The 27,569-nt window shown below is 35.3% G+C and overlaps 1 long non-coding RNA gene and 1 pseudogene across 2 annotated transcripts in view; one reads left to right on the forward strand and one right to left on the reverse strand.

Annotated features, from left to right (window-relative positions):
* On the reverse strand, positions 17,491-18,323 carry RPS6P5 (ribosomal protein S6 pseudogene 5; annotated as a pseudogene).
* The window catches only part of LOC107986284 (uncharacterized), a 116,209-nt gene continuing 113,646 nt past the window's right edge, over positions 25,007-27,569 (forward strand). Inside the window, exons 1-2 of one of the 2 annotated variants that reach the window (XR_001741712.2) lie at positions 25,007-25,210; positions 26,251-26,429. This is a non-coding gene — a long non-coding RNA (uncharacterized LOC107986284). The remainder of the gene's footprint in view (positions 25,211-26,250; positions 26,430-27,569) is intronic. The other variant, XR_001741711.2, reaches the window with a different exon arrangement.

The raw sequence follows: 27,569 nt of genomic DNA on the forward strand, positions 1-27,569 counted from the left end.
TTTTATTTGTGTTATATGCCAGGTTTAAAATTCATTTCTGCAGGAGAGTCAGTTTGCTAGGAGCTTAGTTGTATATGTTGGATGCTAAACTCCTAATTTGTTTTAAAAATAATGTTGCAGCTATTTCTCTATTTAGTGCCTAGCTTTGGTTTTGTTTTTATCCTGCTCGAGATGTTTTAAACTTTTGAATCTTGTAATTTATATTATTATCATCAGGTATATTTTATGTCCACAAAATTATATTCTATTGTCCAGATAGATTGCATGTGCATTATGTTCTTCTTTCTAAAAATTATCAGTCAGTCAACTTAGACCAATACAGACTCAGAAATTTAGGATTTTAAAAGGAAATATTATAATGATTAGTATAAATGAATAATGTTTTACATAATGTTTAAAATTTGTAGATAAAATAACACAACAAGGTTACTATGGCAAATCTCACCACTTTTTTTTAGAGATGAAGAAATAAAATTGAATAATTTTTTCAGGGTCACAGAATAGGAAAAATCAAGGCAGTATTTTAACTCAAACTAGGTTTACTTATTCTATTCCTTTATTCTATAATACTTCCAGATTCAAAACTATCTCTAAATCTCTTTTAATTACTTCCAATTTTCAGATAAAATCTAAAGCTGGTAAGAATATATACATTAAGTAGGTGTAATGCCAAAATCTATGTCTGCTCTTTATTTTACCTATAGTGTTTAATCATGTTACAGTTGAAATTCAACAGATATAAATATTATACAACAGTTATCTAAAATTTATTATGAATTTAGAAACAAGCTCTAATGAGGACAGGGGTCAATGTGATCAAATATTTATTTGGACTTATAATTTTATCTATGACAGAAAAATATATACTTCTGCTTCTAGAAGGTGGATTACATGCACTATTGTAACCATAATAGGCTCATTGGTCAATATGCATAGCAAGTCAACATTCAGAGACACCAGGTTGTAATAGAGAAAGAGGTTTAATTATTGGATCACCTAAAAAGGAGATGAGAGAAAAACTCAAATGTATCTCCCTGAAGAATTTGGGCCTTGAGTTTTTAAGGGTTTTAGAGTGGGCCAAAGTGTGGAGATCTTCAGTTGGTCTAAGAGTGTATGGGGAAATCACGGGAGAGGGAAATGAAGAAGCTGTATTCTGATTCTGATCCTGTTCCTCTATAATTGTCTTCAAAGTGGTTGCTGGAATTTGGGATCTGAAAAATATCTTAAGCAATTATTAAATAAAAGCCTTATGATTTTAATGTCAGAGATCTTGTGTATTTGGACAATGGGGATGGAAATAAATTCTTAAACACACTTATCACCCTAATGTCAGAAATTCCATCTATAGGAAAAATGGGGATGCAAATGGTCAGTATTTTGTGCTGTGTGACTTTTAGCAACAGAGAAGTAGGTCAAAGAGCAACCTGTTTATTGCTTAATTATAATTATATTTCTGTTCAGAACCCATCATTCATTTCTTGCCAACTCTGTAGCAGTGGATTCACTTTGTCTTGTGCTTTTCCACAATAAGCACACCTAAAAACCCTAGACATTAAATATGAAACAAACCTAAGAAGATTATAGCAGAAGGAGAGAAGACAGACTGATTAATGATCTTAGGTTCTTAGAAAGGACATGGAGATGAGATCTTTGGGTTTTCTTTTTGCCTCATATGTTCTAGATTTGAAGCTGAAGAAGCTGGCTACTCAGAATTGCAAACAGGCACAAACAAAAATGAATGCCCAACAAAAGCCAATACACTCTTACTAAACAAAATAGAATCTGGCTCATAGACAGTTAACTTTTAGAGTATAACCACTCAATTTCAGAAAACATCATAGAAAAACTGTGGCTCTAGCCACATTTACTCTAAACTTATGAGACTGTAATGAACCCCCTGCTGCAGTGGTATCATAAAAGGGAAAGTAAAAAGATTTGGGACTTTCATCCTCACAGGCATAAGTTATAAGACACCCCCTCTACTCAGTGTCAGTGGAGAATATGTAGCAAGCCCGGAATTTCACTCACACTCTGCAATAACAAAGTGCTCCCAAACCCCCAGTGGACAGATGTCAGTAGAGGCTTAACAGAGAAGCAGAACTTTCTTTATTATCTGTGCAGTGTCAGTGAGGACAACATGGGTAGTATATATTCTCTTCTTGCCCAGGAGAAAGGAGAAGCACTCCTACACTGTCAGGAGTCAATGGAAGCTGAGTGGGAAATTTGAACTCATTCCACCTGGCAGTAATAAGGTGGCATTACCCTTCCACTGCCAAAGTAGTATCAGGAAATCCTAGCTAAAACATAACATTTAAATAAGATCCAAAATATTAGAATACAAAAATCCAGGCTTCAATAAAATGTTACTCATTATAAAAAGAACTGGAAAGATCTCAAACTGAAAGAAAAAAGGCCATAAATAAATGCTAATATCAAGAAAATAGACATCATAGAATTATTAGACAAATATTTAAAGCAGTCATGGTAGGATTGCTTCAACAAGCAATTGAAAACACTATTGAAACAAATAAAAAAGTAGAGATTTAGCAAGTAAATGAATGATACAAATAAAAACCAACGGAAAGTTTTGAACTGAAAAACAGTAACTAGAATAAAAAGCTCACTTGATGGGCTCAACAGCAGAATGAAGGGGACAAAGGAAAGAATCACTAAACTGGAGCACATAACAATAAAAGTTACTAAAAGGAAACAGCAGAGATAGAGTAGAAAAAAAAAATATATATATATATATAGGGCTCAGGGACCTGGGAAGCTATAATAAAAGACCTAATGTTGTGTTACTGGAATTCAATGAGGAGAAAAGAAAAGATGGTACTGAAAATGTACTGGAAGAAATAATGACTGAACATTTCTGTTATTTCACAAGAGACATAAGATTCAGGAACATGAATGAATCTTTACTAGGATAAACCTAAATATACCAAGAGACAGCATTCCTTTTCTTTTACCATTTGAATGATATTGTGCCACTTTCTTCTGCCATCCATGGCTTCTAATGAGAAATCTGTTGTCACTTCCATCTTGTTCCCATGTCCTCCTTAACCCCAGAAATCCACTAATCTATTAAGCATTTTGATAATTTTGTCATCTCAAGAATTACACATAAATAATATATTATATAAAATTTTGTGATTAACATTTTTATAAATGAAGATTTATCCAGATTACTGTGTGTATCAGTAGTTCATTCCTTTTAGTAACAGTCCTTGGTATATTTTGTAATTTTTAAAAGAATTCACTTAACACCTGGATTATTTCAAGTTTGCCTGTTGTACCTATAATTGCTATAAATGTTTCTGTTTAGGTTTTTGTGTGAATGTCAGTCTTCATTATTATAGAATGAATGTCCAAGAGTGCAATTGTTTGATCATATGTTAGGTGCATGTTTCGTTTTATAAGAAACTACCCAACTGTGTTCCACAGTGGCAATACATTTTCCCCAGCAATGTATGAGTGATCTTGTTTCTCCAAATTCTCACCAGTAGTTGATGTTATCTCTATTCTTTTCTAATTTCAACTATGCTGATAGCTATGTAGTGATATCTTACTGTAGTTTTAATTTGTATTTTCCTAATGGTTAATAATGGTGAACATCTTTTTCATATACTTATTTGTCATTTGTTTTCCTCTTTGGTAAAATTTTTTCTCCTGCCTTTGACCTTTTACTAATTGATTGTTGTTTATAGAGTTGAGTTTTGTCATATATGTACTTTAAAAATATCTTCTCGCATGAATAATATTTGTAGCACTAGAAATGCTTTGCATTTTGACCGTATCAATGTCAGTACCATAGTTGTAATAGCACGCTACAATTTTTGCAAGATATTACCATTAGGGGATACTGGGTAAAGAGTACGCAGGATCTCTCTGTATTATCTTTTACATTTGCATGTTAATCTATAATAATCTTAAAACAAAAGTGTTAAAATAAAATGTAGGACTTCTAAGGGTAGTATGTTGGTATTATTTTACAAATAACTTTACATTTGGCTCCCTAAGGCCATACTAGCTCCTTTTATGTTCAGGAAAATAAGCTTATGATATCTTTGGACATACTTATGAAGCAATTTCCTATATTGAAAAATAGTCACTTTCAAGAAGAGAGACCTCAAATATTTTTTCTGAAATATCAACTGTCTACTCTTCAAATCACTGGACTGTGACTGTAAATATAGAAAATAATTAGGATGATCAGAAGAGCATAAACAATTTCTAGCTTTATGTCAAGGAGTTTTCCAGGAAAAACCTTGATGAAAAATTTTGTTATTGGAAGCTGATATAGTTTGAGTGTTTGTCCTCTCCAAATCTAATTAGTGAAATGTAATTCCCAATGTTGAACATGGGGCGTAATGGGAGATGTTTGGTTCAGGGAGGTGGTTCCCTCATGAATGGCTTGGTTCTGCTCTTAAGATAGCGAGTAAGTTATTGTGAGATCTGGTTGTTCAAAAGTATGTGGCACCTCCCCTTCCCTGTCTCTCTTGCTCCTGTTCTTGCCATGTGACAGAATGATTATCATCACCTTCTGCCATGATTTTAAGCTTCATGATTGTAAGAATGCTAGCTCCCGTAACATCTTGCCATAACTGTAAGGCCTCCCAAGAAGTTGAGCAGATTTGGCACCATGCTTCTCATACAGTCTTCAGAACGGTTAGCCAATTAAATGTCCTTTCTTTATAAAATACCCAGACTCAGGTATTCCTTTGTAGTAACGTAAATGGCCTAACGCAGAAAATTGATATCAAGGAGTGGGGCATTGCTATAAAAATACCTGCAAATGTGAAAGAAACTTTGGAACTGGGTAATGGGCAGATTTTAGAAGGGTTTGGAGGGCTCAGAAGAAGGCAGGGAGTGGAGGGAAAGTTTAGAACTTCTTAGTGACTAGTTGAATTGTTGTGACCAAAACACTGACAGAAATATGGATAGTGAAGGCCAGGCTGATGAAGCCTTAGATGGAAATGAGGCATTTATTGGGAACTGGCATAAAGGTCACCTGTGTTACACACTGGCTGAGATCTTGACTGGATTATCTTTATGTAATAGGGATCTATGGAAGTTTGAACTTAAGGGTGATTACTTAGGGTATCTGGCAGAAGAAATTTCTAAGCAGCAAAGTGTTTAAGAAGTAATCTCTCTGCTTCTAACAACCTATGATCAGATATGGGAGCAAAGAAATGACTTAAATTTGGAAATTATTTTTAAAAGGGAAGCAAAGGGTAAAAGTTTGGAAAATTCACAGCCTGGCCATGCGGCAGAGAAAGAATCCAAGCAGGCAGTGGAGGAACCCCTTGCGAGAAAAATTAGCATGACTAAAATGGAACCCAGGGGTATTATCCAAGACAATGGACAAAAGGCCACAAAGTCATTTCAGAGATCTTAGAGACAGCCCCTCCCATCACAGGCCCAGAGACCTACTAGAAAAGAATGGTTTCATGGGCCAGGCCCAGGACATCACTGCCCTGCTGCACTGTCCCAGGACTGCTAGGCCTAGGACACTGCTTAATGCATCCTGGGTGCTTCAGCTGGAGCCACACCTCAAAGGGCCCTAGGTACAGCTTGGGCCGCTGCTCCACAGGGCATAAGCTATAAGCCTCAGCAGTTTCCACATGGTGTCAGATCTGCAGATGCACAGAATGCAAGTATAAAGAGGCTTGGCCACTTCTCCCTAGATTTCAGAGGATATATGGAAAAGCCTCGATGTCCAGGCAGAAGCCTGCCACAGGGGCAGAACCTTCACAGAAAAACCTCTACTAGGGCAGTGCAGAGGGAAAATGTGGAGTTGGAGCCCCCACACGGAGTCCCCACCAGGGCACTGCCTGGTGTTGCCAGTGTTGTGGAAATGAGGCCACTGCCCTCCAGGCCCCAGAATGGTGGATTTATTGGCAGCTTGTACCCTGCACCTGGAAAAGCCATAGGCACTCAGTTCCACCCTGTGAGAGAGACACAAGGGCTGCACCACAGGCGTAGAGTTATGCCAGGTCTTGGGATCCCACCCCTTGTACCAGAGTTCCTTGGATGTGGGACATTGAATCTGGGGAGACTATTTTGTAGTTTTAAAATTTAATGACTTCCCTATTGGGTTTCAGACTTGCATGGGGCCCACTGTCCCTTTTTTTTGGCTATTTTCTCTCTTTTGGAATCATAATTTTTACCTAATGTCTGTACTAGAATTGTATGTAAGGAGTAAATAACTTGTTTTATAATTTTACGGTTTCATAGGTAGAAGGAGATAAGTCTCACTTGAGACTTAGGACTTTGGACTCAATGCTGGAATGAGTTAAGACTGTTGGGGATTATTGTCACGGACGACGATATTTTGCAATGTCAAAAGGATATAAGATTTGAGGGGCTATGGGAAGAATGATATGGTTTGTATGTTTGTCCCCTCCAATTCTCACGTTGAAATATGATTTCCAATGTCCCCTCCAATTCTCATGTTGAAATATGATTTCCAGTGGAGGTGAGGCCTGGTGGGAGGTGTTTGAGTCTTGGGGGAAGATTCCTCATGAATAGCTTGTTATTGTCCTTAAGACAGTGAGTGAGTTCTCATGGGATCTGGCTGTTTAAAAATGGATGACTCATTTCCTTCTCTCCCTTGCTCCTGCTCTTGCCACATAACATGCTGGCTTTCTGTTGTCTTCCACCGTGACTGAAAGATTCCTCAGGCCTTCACCAGAAGCTGAGCAGATGTTGGCACCATGCTTCTTGTACATTCTGCAGAACCATGAGCCAATTAAACCTCTTTTCTCTATAAATTACCCAGCCTCAGGTATTGCTTTATAGTGATACAAAGGGCCTAATAAAGAGACTTAATCAGATCTAAAGAAGGAAATGTATCATTACAAAATTTAAAATGTCTGATCATATGTAGGACTCTCTTGTCAATTATTGCTCTGTTTAGCGAGATGAGTTTATTTTCAAATTTTTGAGTTATGTGTCTCTGTGCTGATGTTTAGAGGGAACAAAGGGAAAGATCTGAATTTGTCATTTGAACTAATCTTTATTAAGGTACCACTTATTTTGTGGTAGAAATTGTCAGACATTAGGACTTACCAAAAAGGTATACCTAAGAGGAAACATTCCCCACCAGAAAAGGTCTTAATCATCACAGGGTGCACCTCTCCAATTAGGGTGGCATAGCAAGTGACAGCTACATACGCTTGAGACAATAAAGATTATGCTGCATGCTTTCCAAGTAACAGTGAATTTATTTTTATATTTGTCCTGCACGGAAATGATGAACACTACATTACTAATTCTAAATTAGCATCTAAAATGACAATACAAATCACTAAACATATAGTCATAAATATGATATATAGGACCACCTGTAACAGGGTGCTTACTTTCTAATTAAGGCACAATAGCCATTGGTTAATTTCCAGAATCCATTAGACTTTTGTACATATCAGATTGGGCTATCGTACTCTGACAAAAATTGTTAAGGTATGCATGCATCCGTAAATACTTACAGGAGAGTCACCACTTAAATTTTCTCTTCAGATAAACTATATCTTTATGTCAGTACCTGTTAAATAAGTCTTGATAATTGAAGTGACTCCTGATTGCAGATGTACTCAAATATAACACTGCCTCTGTTTTGAAGGTACATGAAACACCCACCACTATGATAAATTTTGCAATTAGTACTAATGAAAGTTAACATTAGCACACACTGGAAACATTGCCTGGATCTCATTTACTTATGTGGTCTTTGATTCAAGTTGTGGATAAAGAACATGGTAGCCCCCCTACACACATTTTATTGTCCAGAGACTATTATCACTTGAGTATTAGTGTTCAAATGCCTTAAGAACGTGTGTAATCTCTTCTTTCAATGTATGGTTATGTAAAACAATTATACAGCATTTATTGTGTGTGTGTATTTGTTTTTAATTTAGTAAAATACTTTTGATACATATCTGTGTTTTGTGTATATCTGAAGTTTGTTAATTTTTTTTTCTGAGTAGAATTATCATTATATCATGCATTGTATGGATATACTACAATTTGTTCATCCAGTCACATATTGATCAAAATTGTTCCAAATTTTATACAATTTTTAACAAAGCTGCTATAAAGATTTGCATACAAGTGTTTGCATGGACATTTCTTCTCATAATTTTTGGTGAATAAGCTAGTTGTAGAATTGGTTTGTCATATGGTAAGTTCATGTTTAAATTTATGAGAAACTCAGAGTCTTCACCAAAATAATTGCTTCATTTTATATTCTCATTCATAGCTTATGAAAGTTTCAATTGTTTCCTATGTATCTAAAATTTGATATTTTTAGTTTTTTAATTTTAGCCATGTTAACTATACATAGAATTATGTATGTAATTTTTAGTGATATTTATTTATATTTATTGGATGATTAATAATGTTGATATTTTCTGTGCTTATTGGCCCAAATTTTTTTGTAAATATCTGCTCATCTCTTTTGTCAAATTTTGAATTATGTGTCTTATTTTCAAGTTGAATTTGTGTTTGTGTGTGTGTGTATATGGATAGAATACCTATTTATTGTCAGAAGCATTTACTGTGCAAATTTTTCCAGATTGTGAATTTTATTAAAGTATCTTTCAAAGATCAATTAAATTTTAATTTCTTTGGAATCTAATTTATCATTATTTTACTTGTATGTTTTATGTTTTCAGTGTCCTAAAATTCTACCCTAAGATCAAGAGATTTCTTCATACATTTTTTACTACAAGTTTTATAAATTTACTTTAACGTGTTTCCCGTCTATCATCTAAGCCTGAGGTCAGAGTGGAGGTGCATTAAAAATATGTAGCTAAAAAGATATCAAGTGATTCCGGATTTTTTACATTACATTACATTACATTACATTACATTACATTACATTACATTACATGTTGAAGCATGTAACAATTTCTATAGCTTATCTACTGTTTTAATAGCAAATTACTCCCAAAATTAGTAGCTTAAAAGAACACACATTTATTATCTAATAATTTCTGTGGATAAGGGGTCAAGGCATAACTTAGCTAGATTCTCTGCTTCAGGCTCTCTACAAAATGTCAATTAAGATGTTGGCCCAAACCAGGTGTTGGTGGTGCCTCACACCTACAATCCCAGCAACTAGGAAGGTGGGAGGATGGCTTGAGGCCAGGAGTTCGAGACCTACCTGAGCAACATAGCAAGAACGTCTCTACCAAAAAACAAAATTAGCCAGTAGTGGTGCCTTGCACCCCTAGTCCCAGTTAATCAGAAGGCTGAGGCAGGATGATTGCTTGAACCCAAGAATTTGAGGTTGCAGTGGGCTATGATCAAGTTACCACACTCCAGCCTGGGCAACAGAGTGACATCCTGTTTCAAAAAAGAAAAAAATTGGATCTCATTTGAACACTTCAAGCCACTCCCAAGCTCTCTTATGTGACTGTGTGAGAATTCCATGGCTCAAGGTTTGCTGTAATGATGGTGGATGGTGATGGCCGTGGCTGGGTGTCTCTGCAGCCTGCACCCTCGGGTGCCCCAGGAAGGATGCTAATCCCTGCAGGCTCGGGGGTGTTGGCCTGACCTCTCTCCATTCCCAGTGCCTACTCTAATCTCCAAGAGGGAGATGGGGCCAAGCCTGGGGGTCATGAATGGCAGCTGGAGGCAGATTGATTCCTGAATGAAAGGGGCTCGTCCCCAGTAAGGCCCCACCTGTGAGCCAGGAAGGACCTGAATGATCCGGGCCAAGCTGCCAGTCCTGCAGACCAGAGTGGGAACTCTCATTGCTTCTTCCAGCCCGCCCATGGCAGCATGGAGTATCCTCTCTGCTGATAGCTGGAGACAATGGGACAATGAAAGCTGCAGAGAGGAATACCTTATCTGCTGAGAGTTGCAGAGACAACCTGCTGGCAGAGAGGAGCTATGCTCTCTACTGAGAGCTTAAGAGACCTGCAGAGACTTTGGAATGACTTACAGAGAGGAGCTACACCCTCCAGGTTCTCCTCTCTGCTGAGAACTGAATACTAGATGAGGCTACCTGCCTACAGAGAGGAGCTACCCACTCCTCTGGCCTGTTCTGACACTAAATAAAACATTTCTTCTTCATCACCCTTCACTCTTCTTCTTCTTCACCCTCCACTCGTCTGCTACCTCATTCTTCCTGGATGCAGGACATCATTCTTCTTGGATGGAGGACAAGAACTTGGGTAAAGGTGCAGCAGACACAGAGGTTTCAAGCCAGAAAAATCGATGCCCTAGAGATCTTGTAACAATGGCTTTGTTTGTTACTGGCTTTATCTAAGCATAAAGTTAGAGTTCATTCTCAATAGCTTGTCATGTGGGGGTCTCCACTGGACAGCCAACAACATGGCAGCTTTCCTCATCAAAGCCAGTAAAGGAGTCAAGACAAATTGAAAGCTCTTTGTTTTCTCCCCCTCAAGAGGGTAAGAGGTTTCAGTGAAAACTGGAAAACCTAGGTAAATTCTAACAGAACTGTAACACCTATAATCTAATCTTGGAAATGACACCCATTGACTTTGTCACAGTCTGTTGGTTAGAAGCAAGTCACTCAGTTCATCCCCTGTTTAAGGTAAGTGAATTACACAGGGTTGGGAATATAAAATATAGAGTTTATTTGGCTCCATTTTAGAAATTTTCGTATATCACATCCTCATTAAATTATCTTCAAATTTTTAATGAAAACCAATTGATAATATATATGTCTGTTTCTCAATATTTCATTTTGTTCCATTGATCTGTAAGCCAATGTTTTTGTCAGGGCCACAATAGCTTTATTATGGAAGATTTGTAGTAAATCATTTGTAGCAATCTGGTAGTATCAGTCCTCAATTTTAATATTTAATAAAACTTAGCTATCCTTCAGTGCATTGTATTGCCATATGTATTTTATAAACAGCTTAATAAAATCTTCAAGAATAGCCTGTTAAGATGCTAACTGATTTTCTGGGACCAAACATTTGTGGCAGACTTGTCAGATCATAGGATACAACACAATAATTTTATATGTGGATAGGAACACTCAACCCTAGAAGAAAGTTTTAATCATCCCAGAAAGCATTCCAAAAAGTAGTAGAAGATGGCATGTATTAGTCAGATTTTGTGAGAAAAAATGATGAAGAAGTTATCTTAAATATATATACTAACTTGAGGACAATTTTGAGTCTTCAAATCCATAAATTTGGCACATTACTCCATTTATTTAATTCATTTGTATTTGTTCTCTACAATGTGTTGTAGTGTTCAGTGTAATGATCTTGAAAATATATAACATTAGATTTAAGCATGCCATGTTTATGCTATTGTGAGTGATACTAATACTAATTTAAATAGAATTCAGTTTTCAATTTTTTAAGTTATATAAAAATATGGTTGACTTTTGTATATTGACTGCATATCTTGAGACCTTTCAAAATTAATGTATTTCTCATTAATGTCATGGAATTTTTTTTACAAATATATGTCATCTAAGAATAAAGTCAGTTTAGCTTCTTACCTTCCAATTTGAATGGATTTTATTTTTTTTCTGCGTTATTGTACTGACTAGAACCTAAAGTAAAACATTCAATAAAAGCAGTGAGAAAAGATATACTTGTCTTATTCCCAATCATAGGGAGAAATTATTGAATGTTCCTCAGTTGAATAGAAACTACAGGTTTTATTATGTGTGTGGGGATACCCTGCACTAGATAGAGAAATTTGACCTGTTATTTTACTGTTTGTATCTTGAATAGGCATTTATTTTAGTCAAATGCATTTTCTTGCATTTCTTTGATATACACATGATTTTCCATCATTTGATTTACTTTGACTTCTTAAATATATAAACCAATCATAAATTGCTGTGATTAATTTGAATTTGTTTATGATATCTTCAACATTTGATAAGTAGGTGGATTTTTGGTAATAATTGTATTTAGAATGTTGGTATCTATCTACATTCATGAGAAAAATGTCGGTCTTTAATTTTATTTACTTGTAAGACTTTTGTTTGACTTTGATGTCATGTTAATGCTATTCTTAAATTTTATTCTTAAAAATTAGTTGAAGCTTTTTTTATATATTTTATGTTCCTGAATGTATAATTGGTATTATTTCTTTCTTAAATAAATGATAGAATTTACCTGTAAAATTATCTGGGCCAGAAGTATTCATCACAGCAATTTCTTTTTATGAAGAATTCAATTTCTTAACATAAAATGTTAATTTTTTCTACATAATATTTGGCAGCTTGTGCCTTTCAACAGTTTTATTAATTTTATCAAAGATGTACACTTTATTGCCATGAGATCATTTATCCTATTCTTTATTATGTCTTTAATAACTGTATGATATATGGCAAAATCTATTCTTTATTCTTTTTTAAATGATTGTTTTTCAGTTTATGTGAAATTAATATAACAGAAAGTTAACTATCTTAAAATATTAAATTCAGTGGCATTTAATGCATTCCCAATGTTATTCAACAACATCTTCCCTCTAATAAAAAAAAATATCACTCCAGAAAAAATTCTGTATTCATTAAGTAATCACTCCCAACTACCACATCCCTAGCACCGAGCCACCACTCATTAGCTTTCTGTCTCTATGGATTGGCCTAATCTAGATATTTTACATAAAAGGAGTCATATATGTGATATTTTCTATCTGCCTTCTTGCCCTTAGTATAATATTTTTAAGGTTCACTCAAGTTGTAGCATGTCATTCATTTTTATAACAATAATATTTCATTGTATGTATATACCACAATGTGTTAATCCATTTGTCCATTGATGGATATTTGGGTATTTTCCACCTTTTAACTATTATAAGTAATGCTGCTGTTAACATTGGTGTACAGGTTACCGTGTGAACATATGTTTTCATCTTTCTTGCACATACCTGGAAGTGGAATTGCCAAGTTCCATGGTCATTCAATGTTTAACTTTTTACAAAACTGTCAACGCATTTTCCACCATGCCTACATCATTTAACATTCCCATCAACAATGTAGGAGGGTTTCCATTTTTCCACATCCTCACCAATACTTTTTTATTTTTTATTTTTTTCTAATTTTATCTTTATTATAGTCATCATAGGGATGTGTGAAAGAGAATAAAATCTTGGGACTGCAAACTCACTATGTCGAAGAGATAGTTAAGCTTGGTAACTGAGTCATGCAGTACTGCCTTCTCCAGATAGCTGTAATTTCACAATGACATAGTCTTACCTTATGCCTAAGCCAGGTACTCAAAGGGATAGAAAGTCATATACCTTCCCCAGATGGCCTCTCTCACACATTATTCACAAATAAATTCCTTGTGAGCCCGTAAGTCTGCCAGGATAAATATTCCTCTATAAACCAGTTCTAAGTCAGAGTTCTGTTAAATCTCAAACTGATTATATGTTGATTATGAGCTTATCCTCACAGATACAGAACAAGGGCAGGGTCAGAAATCATCCTTCTGTGTACCTTGAGATGGAAGCATAATTGACTTTTTCTTCTACTTTCTCTTTTCATCTTCCCTTATCTTGTGTAAAATGTAAATTCACTGAGCACTTATTAGATCCTTACTAGAAAGTAACCATTTGCCTCACTGTCTTCTCTCTCTCCCTTTTCTCTACACTGCTCCTTCTTTCCCCTTTAAATACTGAGTTCCACAAACCATATACGGAAAAGCACAGGTAACAAATGTGACATGTGTTTTTCCCAGGTGCATCCTCAAACTTTAGTTCAATAAACATCTATTGATTGAGACTCCCATCTTAGTCACTTTGTGGCTAACAGGTGTAAAGCAGTATCTTACTGCGGTTTTGATTTGCATTCTTTTAATGATCAATGATGATAAACATCTTTTAATGTGCTCATTGTTTATTTTATATTTCTTTTGGAGTAATGTCTATTTGATTTCTTTGTATTTTTTAGTTGAACTGCTTGCCTTTTTGTTGTTGAGTTGTAAGAGTTATTCATACGTTCTGAATACTAAACCCTTATCAGATATATATATTGCACATATTTTATCTCATGTTGACTTTCTTGATTGTGTCTTTTGATACCCAGTGGTTTTTTAATTTGATGAAGTTTAATTTATCATTTTTTCTTTTGTTACTTATGCTTTTGTTGCTGAATTGGCAAGTCATTCTCAAATATAAGGGGGTAACGGTTTATTCTAATATATTCTTCTATTAGTTTTATAGTTTTAGCTCATATATTTAAGTAATTAATCCATTTTGAGTCAATTCTTTGTGTACAAGTGAGGTAGCGGTCCAATCACTTTTTTTTTTTTTTTTTTTTTTTTTGAGATGGAGTCTCACTCTGTCACCCAGGCTGGAGTGCAGTGGCATGATCTCGGTTCACTGCAAGCTCCACTTCCTGGGTTCATGCCATTCTCCTGCCTCAGCCTCCCGAGTAGCTGGGACTACAGGCGCCCGCCACCATGCCCAGCTAATTTTTTTTTGTATTATTTTAGTAGAGATGGGGTTTCACTGTGATAGCCAGGATGGTCTCGATCTCCTGACCTCGTGATCCACCCGCCTTGGCCTCCCCTAGTGCTGGATTACAGGCGTGAGCCACTGCCCCCGGCCCCAACCACATTTTTTTTTTAATGTGGTAATCCAGTTGTCTTAACATCATTTGTTGAAAAGATTTCTCTCCTTACTGAATGGCCTTGGTACCCTTATCAAAAATCAGTTTGTTTAGGTTTATTTCTAGACTGTCAGTTCAGTTTTACTTGTTGATATGTTTATCCTTATGTCATTACCACAGTGTTTTGATTACTCTAGCTTTACAGTAAGTTTTGAAATTGAGAAATATAGATTTACCAACTTTGGCTTTCTTTTCCAAGATTATTTTGGCTACTTGGAGTCCCTTCAAATTTCATGTGTATTTTAGTATATTTTTTCCTACTTCTGCTTAAAATGACATTTGGGTTTTGGTAGGAACTGCAGTGAATCTCTCCAATACTGCTTTTGTAAATGTTTGATTGAATTTTTCCACTGTACCATTTGACTCCTCTTTTATTATCTTTTTTGTTTTTTAAGTTTTTTTTTAGTGGTTACCTTGGAGATTGCAGTTATCATACCAAATTTATACGTCTATTTTTAATTGATACCAATTTAGCTTAAACAGAATACATTCACTCTGTTTCTATCCAGCTCCATGCCCCCTTATGTTGTTATTGTCATAAATTTACATTTTATACAACGTTTGTCCATTAGCATTGACTTATAATTAGTGTTTAACACATTTATCTTTTAAATGAAATAGTAAAAAAGGATGAATTACAAACCCAAAATATAATATTACCTTTTATATTTGTCATTGTGGTTACCATTACATGAAATCTTATTTGTATTTTTTTGTTTTCATTTATTTAATTATTTTCTTCTTGGGATGGAGTCTTACTCTGTCGCCCAGGCTGGACTGCAGTGGGGTGATCTTGGCTCACTGCAACCTCTGCCTTCCAGGCTCAAGCAATTCTCCTTCCTCAGCCTCCTAACTAGAATTACAATCGCATACCAGCATGCCTGACTAATTTTTGTATTTTTGGTAGAGAGAAGGTTTTACCATGTTGGCCAGGCTGGTCTCAAACTCCTGACCTCAGGTGATCCACCTGCCTCAGCCTCCCAAAGTGCTGGAATTGCAGCCATAAGCCACTACACCAACCTGTATTGTTTTAAACAACAAATCTTTGTTTCAATGCATATGAGGTGCTTTTTATTTTTTTCTTTGCTTGCATTTAAGATTTTCTGTTTGTTAAGATTTGGTGTAGATTGCTATATGTTTTTTTTTCTTCCTTTGGGTTTATTGAGCTTCTTGGGTAAGTCATTATTAGAAATTAAATTTTTGTGTATCAGCAAAATTAACATTTTGAAATCTAATCCCCATTGTGATGGTGTTTAGAGGTGAGGTGTTTGGGAGGTAATGAAGTCATGGTGGTGAAGCTCTCATGAATAACATGAGTGAGTGTCTCATAAGAAGAAGTTAAAGAGCTAGCTTGCTGTCTTTCTACTACATGAGGATACATTGCAAAGTCAGCAATCTACAACTGGAAGAGTGCCCTCACTAGAAACTAACCATGTTGGTATCCTGATCTCAGACTTGTAGCCTCCAGAATTGTAAGAAATAAATTTCTATGATTTATAAGCCACTCAGCCTATGATGCTTTACTCTAGCAGGCTAAAATGGCTGACAGTGATTTTAAAGATTCACTGACATCTAAGAATGTTTGGCTATTATTTTCTAAAATATTTTTGTAATTATGCCCAATTCATCTGTATAAATTGGTGATTCCAAAAACGTGTGTGTTTTCCCACTTGAAATTGTTTCCAAACTGATGATATATTATTTTAATTTTAGACATTTTCTATGTTTCATTTTAGTTAATTTCTTTGGTCATGTCTTCAAGTTCACTCTCTTTTTTTTGCAACAGGTAATTTACCATTAAGTGAATTCACTGTATTTTTTCTCACACATTAGAGTTTTTACATCTAATTGGTCACTTGTGACCCTTTAAGCATATCCTCCTCAACTTGACTAACGTTTTTAATATTTCCCATACGTTTAATATTTCCCATACGTTTTTAAATTTATATGATATAGTAATAATTAATGTTAAAGTTTCCAAACTTTAACTAAATCTATATCTACTAAATCTATAACTGTACAATTTCTGAGTTAGTTTATAGAATGGTTTTATGAGTTGAATTGTGACACTCCCCCCTGCGGAAAAAAAAAAAATGTATGTTGAAGTCCTAACTTTCAGAACCTCAGAATGTGACCTTATTTGGTAATATGATTATTGTATTAATAGATGTAATTAGTTAGGATGGGGTTATACTGGAGTAGATTAGGCCCCGAGTTCAAAATTAATTCTGTCCTTGGGAGAAAATGGCCATGTGAATACAAAGAGAGGACACTATATGAAGCTGAAGGCAGAGATTGGAGTGATGAGTCTACAAGCCAATGAATGCCAAAAATTACAGATCATCATGAGAAGGTGGAGGAGAGACATGGAACATTACCAATACCCTGATTTTATATTTCTGACATCCAGAACTCAGAGGCAATACATTTCTATTATTTTAATTCACCAAGTTTGTAGTACTTTGTTACAGCAGACCTGGAAAATTAATAAAATTGGCTTTACCCCTTATTATGTATTGTATTTTGCTGATTCCTCATTTTTTTAAAGATATGAGGTCTGGTCTTATTTACTTCTGTATTATTATTAATATTGAGACAGAGTCTTGCTCTGTCACCCAGGCTGCAGTTCAGTGACACAATCTTGGCTCACTGCAACCTGTGCCTCCTGGGTTCAAGTGATTCTCCTGCCTCAGGCACCCAAGTAGCTAGGACTACAGGTGTACAGCACCACGCCTGGCTAATTTTTATAATTTTAGCAGAGACAGGCTTTTACCATGTTGGCCAAGCTGGTCTCGAACTCCTGGCCTCAAGTGATTTGTCCGCCTCAGCCTCCCAAAGTGTGGGGTTACAGGTGTGAGCCACCACTCCTGGCCTTTATTTATTATTATTAAAATATCTTATTTTTGTGTTGGACTCAGACTTACAAGTAGAAGCTGTTAAAGAGGTCAGCCTGTGTCTTTTCGCAATTGGTAATGGCATTTTTCTTTGGTCTCCTTCATTCTCTTTGGCCTCCTTCATTCTCTTTGCCAAAAATTTACTATAATCTGTGACTTTTTCCTTATTTTTCTTTGTAAGCTATTTCTCCAGTGCAATCTGGTGTTTGTGTTACAGGACATGTGGCGTAACATAATGTGGAATCTTGGACGCTTTGGTCTTAGGTATCTTACCTTCTTTGCTCAAGGTCTTTCCCACAACATATTGGCAGACATCCTCTTCTTTGGAAAGATGAAAAAAGTTTACAGATTCTGCTAGGTCTTTTGGACCCCAGCTGATGAGGTATTGTAGTATTATTCAGTACAGGAATATATTTCTCTTCCTTTTTTTACAATAACCAAATTGAGAACACTCAGATTAGCACCAACAATTCAACTCCAAACAGATTTTTACTTTCTTTAGCCAATTCTTCGGAATCTATAACAAAAATGTTCCTTACTCAATAGCAGATGAAGATGGCCATAGGTCAAGGCACAGTGTTTCATGTGGAAACCTCACTTGTCATTCTCATTACTGATTCAGACCACATAACCCTTCCGTTTTTCACCCAGAGTAACAGCAGCAACTTCTATGGCTTTATGTTAATCATAAAAAGTACAACATTTATGTTCACTATCCATGTCAGTGAGTTTCTGGCAGCCAGTGGCTGGGAAGAAAATATTCAGCTTCATCTTGAAGCAACTGATCACCTCTGAGGTGCTAAGAAAAAAAGATCTTTCTTATGGATTTTATTTTGCTAATTCCTAATTTTTGATTGGAGGTCAGACATTGCAAATTTTCCTCTGTTGGGGGCTGAATATTTTTGTATTCCTATCATATTAGGATTTTATTGTGAGACATGGACAGTTACTTGGAAACAGTTTGATGTTTTAGCATCTTGTTTTAATCTTTGGTAGATGGGTTCAGAAATACATTTAGTCTAGGGTTTCTTTTTTCCTGATTACTAAGAGAAGACCATTACATTAAACTACTCCCTGAATTATGAGTTTTTCTACTTTGTGCTGTTGGAAGGAGGCACTATTCTTCACCCTTTGCATACCCCAAGCAATGTTGCCATAATCCTGTTAGATAGTTTTTTTCTCAGCCTTGAATATTTTACTCACACAAGTGTTGTGTATTAGTCCATTTTCACACTGCTGTAAAGAACTGCCTGAGACTGGGTAATTTAAAAAGAAAAGAGGTTTAGTTGACTCACAGTTCTGCATGGCTGGGGAGGCCTCAGGAAACTTAAAATCATGGTGGTGGGTGAAGGAGAAGCAAGTACCTTCTTCACAAGGCGGCAGGAGAGAGAGAAAGCACAGGGGAAACTGCCACTTTTAAAACCATCAGATCTCGTGAGAACTCCCTCACTATCACGAGAACAGCATAGGGGAAACCACCTCCATGATCCAATCACCTTCTACCAGGTCCCTCCCTCAATACTTGGGGATTACAATTTGAGATGAGATTTTGGTGGGGACACAGAGCCAAACCATATCATTTGGTAAGCAGTACTTAACTGAACATTCCCTGGAATTTTCTCTCCTGCAGTTCTCTCTTATTTGTGAACTTTCACCAGTTTTTGTCTGGCCACATGTCTCCAACAGACTAGCCAATGGTTCTTTGCATTGTTACTGATTTCCAAAAGCAACAAGCAAAAGAGGACAAGCCCTATTGTACAAGCACTCTTTGAGCCTCTTGGGTCACTTTTGCTACAATCCCATTGGCCTAAGCAAGTCACATGGCTAAGCCCAGAGTTAATGAATGAGGAGATTAAATTAGTGAATAGATGGAGAGAGAGGTGATTTATTAGAGGCCATTACAATAATAGTCTATCACACAGTAATTATAATAGCTGAATAACAAGTTCCAGAGACTATATTTATTTAATCCAATAAAAAGACCACATCTGGAATAGCAGCTGCAATGGAAGATACCATCTGGTATGACGTACATTACTTTTCTCTTCTCCCAAGACTCATCTGTCTTTTGCAGATATCAAAAAAGAAATTTTAAATTGAAGGTATAGTGTAATGGGAATCACCACCTCTGCTTTTTCATAGTTTTCCAGGTGGTAATAATCTCTATAATACCAAAAGTGATATAGTCTTGCATTTGGATTACTATTTTTATAAAAGAGGGTGCTCCAAATATATCTAATAAAATAAACATTTAGATTGTTAGAAAATTTATCATTTTACTTATAAAAAATTTTACTCATTGTAGTTTCCAAACATAGATTTTAGGTACAAACTTTCATGAAGTGTAGAAAATTTAAGTTCTTCTTTCAATAACATATGTCAGGTATCTCAAACTCTTTAAACCTATGCTCACTTTCAATAATCAATAACAATAAAAATCTTCTGAGTCATTTTATTAGCATCTTAAATTTCACAATATGTTAGTATGATGAAAAATTATAAATTCGATATATTTCTTATTCTATTTCCAGTTTTAAAAGCACTTTTAAGAGGAATACATGCTTTGTTCTCCTCCTGTTAAAACCATTTACTTAAATGTTTGAATGTTGCTGTTGTATCTTTAGAACTCTTTTCCTCTTGAGGATAATATCTATTTCTCAACCATTCTCAATGTCAGGGGTATCATTCCTGTCCTAATACTTAAATGTACTCTGCAAATATGTTCTTTTCCCTGTTTTGTGACAAAGGAATCTGAAATAGAGTTTGTACTCAACTTTGCCCTGAAATCAGCCATAAAAACTTAAGGTAAATATAAAATATAAAGTAAATATGAGAGGTAAAACTTTACTGCTACACTCTTAGGGTCCCTGACTTGGCCCAAAAATTAAATAGGCATGAGATAGATTAAAAGGACAAAAGCATACCAATTTAATATTAAGTTTTATGTGACATAGAAGCCCTCATAAGGAAATGAAGACCAAAGAAGTGGGAAAATCCATATGATTTTATATTAGATTGATCAAAGAGAGGGAATTACAGAAAAGTAACTAAATTATATGGGGAAGCTAAAGGAAGATAAGAATTATTTTAACATGGTCTTTTTGTATAGAGTTTTCTCAGCTATGACTCCCCATAGAAGAATGTTTCTTTTCTCCTGGTACAGGGAGGGTGTCTTTCATATGGGAGTTTTTATCTCCTGTAGGCAAGAAAAAATAGTAGATTAAAATATTCTGTTTAAATCTTCTGTTTTTCAAGTGCCTTTGGCTCAAAATAATCCTTATACCAAAGTGGTATATTCTGGACGGCTTCAGAAGCCTGAATACAATGCAAAATTCAGGCTATTCTGTAAGTAGTAACAATTAAAGTTTTATGAATGAATGAAATGCAATATCTTTTAGAGAATAAGAAGAATGAGAAAAGAAAGCTGAAAACTGAAGTCTAAAGAATTGGTGAAGAAGTCTGAGAGACAACTCTGACGGACAGGGTGAAGTAGTAGCATATTGTGTAAACAAAGATGTAGGGAACCTTTAAACAGACTTGTATAGCCAAGGTAAATGAGGTCATATAGACCCCAACAGACTTCCAATTTGAAGATTTCTTACATCAGAGCATTTTTCAAAACATAGCTATGTATCTTTAGATGTACTTGTAAATTTGACGTTTGTTTCCAAGTTGCTGTTAAATTAAGCATCAAAAAGAAAGAAGTATTTTATTACTTCATTTATGGAAGGTGCATTGAATATATTTAAATGCTCATAATTTTTAAATCATATTATACATATACTTTTGTATTGCAATTCTAGTGAAAAACTATTCACTCAACATTTAAAAAAGAGACAAAATAGGATCCTTGGTTTTCCCATAGTTAATAAGTTCAGCAAAATTTTATTTTTTGGGATCTTTCATAAATAATAATAATAACACACCATGTATTTGTGTAGCTCAAAAACTTTTAAATACAAGTTTATAACATTGATATATATTATTTTAGCTACAAAAGCCGCCTTGGAAATTGTTAAGCATAACCACTTCTTTTTTTCAGATGAGAAAAACCAGAACATGATACAGTTTCCTGTAACACCTCTGGTAACTAAGCCTTAAACTGGACATGGATGTTGCTCCATGGACTACAACCTCTCTTGTTTTCACTGCATCAGTGACACTATTAGGCCAAACATATTTCTGGCTATTTTTATTACTTCGGAAATGTTCATCTGGTGACTCAGCAAAAACACTAATTATCTCATCTTCTTTCCCCATTTTGGAGAAGGACAAATTGAGAATTGACCATTCAAGAAAGATATAATAATAAAATAGAAATAAAAGTGCATAAGGATTTTCTTCATTTTCTAGAGCCCTTTCATGACAAAATGTTTTCAATTAAAGATGAGTTAAATCAAAAGAATGGAAGAAATTAAACGAGACGCTTATTTTTTAACACCTGCTAACAGGTGCTAAAATCTGTTTGAATTCTCTGAATGATGATTTCTGTAGCCAAAATCTCATTATCATAAAACCCAAGATCAAAAAGACTGTGAAATACTGAGGCTGATTTAGTTTTCAAATGCAAAGCAGCAGCTGGATTAAAGCAAAAGGCTACTGGAAGAACCTGGAGAGACACAACTGACATCTTTAGTCATCGGGTGCACTCTCAGACAATGAACAGACTGATTGGACATACAGAAATGGGAAAATTCATCATGTTCTTATTCTAATAAGTTTCATTTCAGGAAACTGATGAACGGCAAGCTGCAGCAGGTTATTCTTTTACTCAGCAAAGAAAATACAGAGGTGATTGATACTGGGAGGACATAGGTAGAAACAAAATGCTTTTGTTAAGATTATATTTACTCTAAAATAATGCCATATATAAAAGTTTTATCCAAGAAAAGTTCTTGTACAATACATATATATCTATATTTACATATAAATATATATGTATGTCTACATAAATGTAGATACATAAGTGTGTACCTGTATAGCTACATGAAATACATATTCATATATACCTATATATGTATGTACATGTATATCTACATAACATACATATGCATATGTACAAAAAAAGGTAATTGAAACAAAAAATGCTTTTTCAAAAGTTGAGATTGATATACTCTCAGCTTTGATAAAAGTCTAATATAAAATATACTATTAAGGAAAAAATTCACTCTACCTCAAAAGAGTTTTTAAATGCATTCTCCATTATGCCACACAATATTCTAATGATCACCTTTCAATTTACTGCTAAGAGGATTCTTTGCCTCTTTAAGCAGGAACAATTCTATTGAAGTATAGAATGTCTTAGGAACAAAGTACACATAGCTACTTAAAAAGAAAGAGAGAAAGAAATTAAAGCTGCTGCTCCCTGTAATTGCAAGCTCAAGTATTATTGTTATTATTATAGTTGTTGTTGTTTTCTGGTTCTGGATCTTGTTATTTAAAATAAAAGAATGAATTCTGCACAGCCCAGGAAGTAATAAACAAAGTGAAAAGACATCCCATGGAATGGAAAAAAATATTTGCAAACTATCCATCTGACAAGGGATTAATAACCATAATATATATGGGTAAGATAAAAGAGATTTTTGGCACTGTAAGAAATGGGGCACACACACATCTGTAAGTATCAATTATTATTATTAATGTTTATTAAAAATGTGGAGACTATACTAAAAGTGATTAATTTTTAGGCCTTTACTAAATTTTGTAGACATAAAATTGTTTTTTCTCCATTAGCTGTTGTTTTTATGTGCCTAATATTGCCTAATAATTGCTGTTTTGTTTTCTAAAAATATATACTGCATATATATTATAAACATATGAAATAAAATATACATATTTAACAATAAAATAGTATGTACTCTGCAGAAAACATAAGAAAATGCCAGAAAGGGCAGATTTTCTAAAATCACTAACTACTCTACTCAGATAAAGATTTTCACGGTTAAAACATGTGACATATATCTACAGTTATTTTTTGCATTTTTCCCCATTTAAGCAATAATTCTAAGCTCATATACTGAATAACCATTTTTCTTCAATATTTAAAGAGAAATTTTTCTCATAACCTACTTAATTTTAAATAGATGCATTTCTATTATTTAGAGTTTTCATCCTATATTTTTTCCTATACCAACTACATGCTATGCTATTATGCTTATAGAAAATTTAGAAGCTGATTTCATATTGAGTTGTATAAGTTGTCTTTTCTTCTCCTATTTCAATGTTCCTTGACTGGTGTTATTAGTTATTCTCACATATAAACTTCTCAATCCTTTTATCAACTTTAAAAATTCTGTCTTTTTCCTTTCTGTCTGATTAAACACATTCTCTTGATTTTCTTCATGAAATAGGCATAGATTATTGTAACCATTTCTTTGTCAACCTATGAAACTCAATTAGAGACACCCATATAATTTAACATTTTTATAAGCCATGATAAAAAGTAAAATAAAATAGGTAAAAAGAAGTGTAATAATATATTTGATTTAAACAAATATATCCACAATATTATCACTTTAACACCTAGTTAAGACAAAAATTATTCAGATATTTTACATGTTTTTGTAGCAAGTATTCAAAATTTGGCATGAATTGTATACTAACAGCACTTCCCAATAGGGAATAACCACATTTTAAGTGCCCAATGATCACATGTGGGTAATGGTTACAGTATTGGGCAGCAAGGTTTTAGGCACTGATTATAATAAAACAAAATAAAAGAGGGTGACGTGTGTCTTAGTCTGTTTTATGCTGCTATAACAGAATACAACAGACTCAGTAATTTATAATGAACAGAAATGTGTTTGGCTCTTAGTTCTGGAGGCTAGGAAGTGCAAACCTGGCATCTGGTGAGGATCTTCGCATCACATCATCACATGGTGAAAGGTGGAAGGGTCAAGAGAGGGCAGGAGCTAGAGCAAAAGATTGAATATGCAGTCTCAGAACTTTCATAATCAGCATTAATTCATTTATGAGGGTGGAGCGCTTGTGACCCAAACATCTATCATTAGTCCCCACCACCCAACACTGTTGTATTGCGGATTAAGTTTTTAACACATGCTTTTTGAGGGACACAGCAAAACCATAGCAATACAGAAATTAAACACATATGAAGAAACTAAAATAGGATAACAGGTGGATAGTAACCAGAAGTGTAGAGGCAGGCATTCCCAATCAAATAAAATCTAGTGTAATATCACTGAGAAAAAAAAAAAGGCGTTTAGTAGTTTTGAGAAATAGGAGGTAGGGGTGGGGTGGTCACTGTGGCTGTGGCTGAAATGTGCTGCTAGATGAAATGGATGGATGAAGCAAGGAAAGGTAGTAAAAGCCAGTTCAGTAGGGCCTCCTCAGATTTTATTCTGTTTTCCATGGAGAGCCACAAGAGAGGCATAAGCAGGAAGATTACATGATGTGCTCTGTGATTTAGAAAACAGAAAACCACGTGATGGCTGCTGAGCAATGAATGGACTACAGTGTTGGGAGTGGAAAAGCAGAAGAGAGCTGAGGATAAAGCCAGGGAAACCATTGATGGTCTGTTTCAGTAATCCAGGAGTTAGAGATTCAAAACTTGAAAGGACTGGAATTGGTGAGAAATGGTTGGATTCAGGATATAATTCAGCAATGGAACTTGGACGACTTACGAATAGATTGGTTATAGGTTGTGAAGAGGAAAGATGACACTATGATGACTACTAAGGTAGGAATGCATGTTGATGCTATTTACTGTGGCAAGGAGACTTGGAGAACAAATGTAGAGAGATAAATTAGTAGTTACATTTTGGACGGTTAAATCATTGAATGTCTTTTAGTTGGAGAGGCTATTCAAGGTTATAAGTCAAGGGAAAATGCTAGATTAGAATTTTTTAGTTAGGATTTATGGGCCAATGAATGGCATTTAAAAATAAGGAAACTGATGTGATTATTTATGATGAAAAAAGTATGTTAGACAAGAAAGTGTTTCAGAACCAAGCCATGCTGTAACCTGACATTTAGAGGCCAGGCAATGGAGAAAGAAAGATTCAAGGACAGTGACAAAGAACAGCAAGTAAAGGAGAAAGAAAATAAGCTTTAGGTAATATCAAAAAGTCTAGAGATTTCTGTATTTCAGGGGTTAAGAGTGGCAAACACTAAACTGCTGAGGAGTTAAGAACACTAAATGTGGCTGGGCACAGTGGCTCATGCCTGTAATTCCAGAACTTTGGGAGGCCAACGCGGGTGGATCACGAGGTCAGGAGATCCAGACCATCCTGGCTAACACGGTGAAACCCCGTCTCTACTAAAAAAAAAAAAAAAAAAAAAAAAAAAAAAAAAAAAAAATAGCCAGGTGTGGTGGCGGGTGCCTGTAGTCCCAGCTACTAGGGAGGCTGAGGCAGGAGAATGGCGTGAACCCGGGAGGCGGAGCTTGCAGTGAGCCAAGATCACGCCACTGTACTTAGGCCTGGGTGACAGAGTGAGACTCTGTCACAAAAACAAAAACAAAAACAAACAAAAAAGAACACTAAATGTAAGCATGATCATTGATTTGGGCAAGATGTAGGTTATTGGTGACGTTTACTAATTCAGAAGAGTGTGCTGAAAAGTTAATGAAAAGTGAGGAAGTAAAAAGAGTAAGTGTAGACAGTTTTGTTGATATGTTTCCTATAAAGGAGAGAAGATAATTTGAGCAGGAGATTAGTGGAGGATTAAAAAAAAAGCAAAGTGTTTGATTTGTTCATTAGTGTATTTCTTTAAAATTAGTGATACCGAGACATGTTTACGAACTGTGATTGGTAGAAAAGAATAAATTAACCATGTAGAAGAGAATGGGATAATTGAAGAAGTGAAGTCCTTTAGGGTACAACAGCATATGGGAACCAGGCCTCATATAGAAACAGGAGCACTTCATGATCACAAGAGGGATGACAGAGTACAAGCAGGTAGGTGAAACTGTCATTAAGTTAATTAATTGATGTGGTATTGTATGCATTTTTGTAGGAATTATGTAACAAATTCATCCACTGATACTAAATGGGGAAGACATTTTTTGAAATGTGTAGTCATTCTTGAGAATGGGAAAGGGAATTTCCTGAAGCAGTGATATGATTATCAAGCAGTATTGCTGTGAAATTAGCAGGCATGGCTCTGTAATTTTTCTCCAGTACCGTTGAGCTGCTGTGGATCAATGTGAATCAGCAGATGGCTCAGTATAAACAGTATTGGGCTTTCATCATTGAGTAAAAGGGAAAATGAGGGGCATGGGAGGCCGAGATATTTGCAAAGGCAGTAGAGATCCTCTTCGTTGCATTTCTTCCTTAACCTTACTGTTTTTCTCTTCTGCCCATGAGGTGTCAGTTAGAAGATCACTGACTCTGTAATTCTGCAGCCAGTAGACCGTAATATGATGAATCTTTACTGAACATATTGCTATGTCATGACCCCCGTTATGGAAAAATGTGCCTCCTCAAATTCACATGTCAAAGCCCTAGCACCCAGTGTAGCTGTATTTGGAGATGAGAACTCTACAGAAGCAATTAAAGTTAAATGAGGCCTTAAGGGAGGACCCCTGATCTGATAGAATTAGTGTCTCTATGAGAAAAGACACCACAGAGCTTCCTTTCTCTCTCCCTGTGCACACACTGAGGAAAGTCCACGCAAAACCATAACAAGGAGGTGTATGTCCACAAGCCAAGAAAAGAACCCTTGCCAGAAATGAATTAACCAGCATCTTGATAATGAATGTCCAGCTTCCGAAATCATGAGAAAATAAATTTCTGTAGTTTAAGACACTCAAGTCTGCAGCATTTTGTTATGGCAGCCTGAGCTGACAAACACAGTCCCTTTTTCTCTTCTCTCCCAGAAAGGTCAAAAAGGGTATTTGAGATGGTACCATAACTTGTAGGAGGAAAGCTGAGTTGGCAAAATTTTACAGCATTTCTTTTTGTTATTTTTTCACTGAATCTATTAAAAAAGAGGAAATGGAGCAAAGTTTGAAAACTTTTGATAAAGCTTTTATCCCCCGCCAAAGGTAGTTATCTCCATTTAACAGGTGAGAAAACAAGAGCCTTAGGAAGGTTATA

This window comes from Homo sapiens, chromosome 4 (genome assembly GCF_000001405.40).
Source record: "Homo sapiens chromosome 4, GRCh38.p14 Primary Assembly".
NCBI lineage: Eukaryota > Metazoa > Chordata > Mammalia > Primates > Hominidae > Homo > Homo sapiens.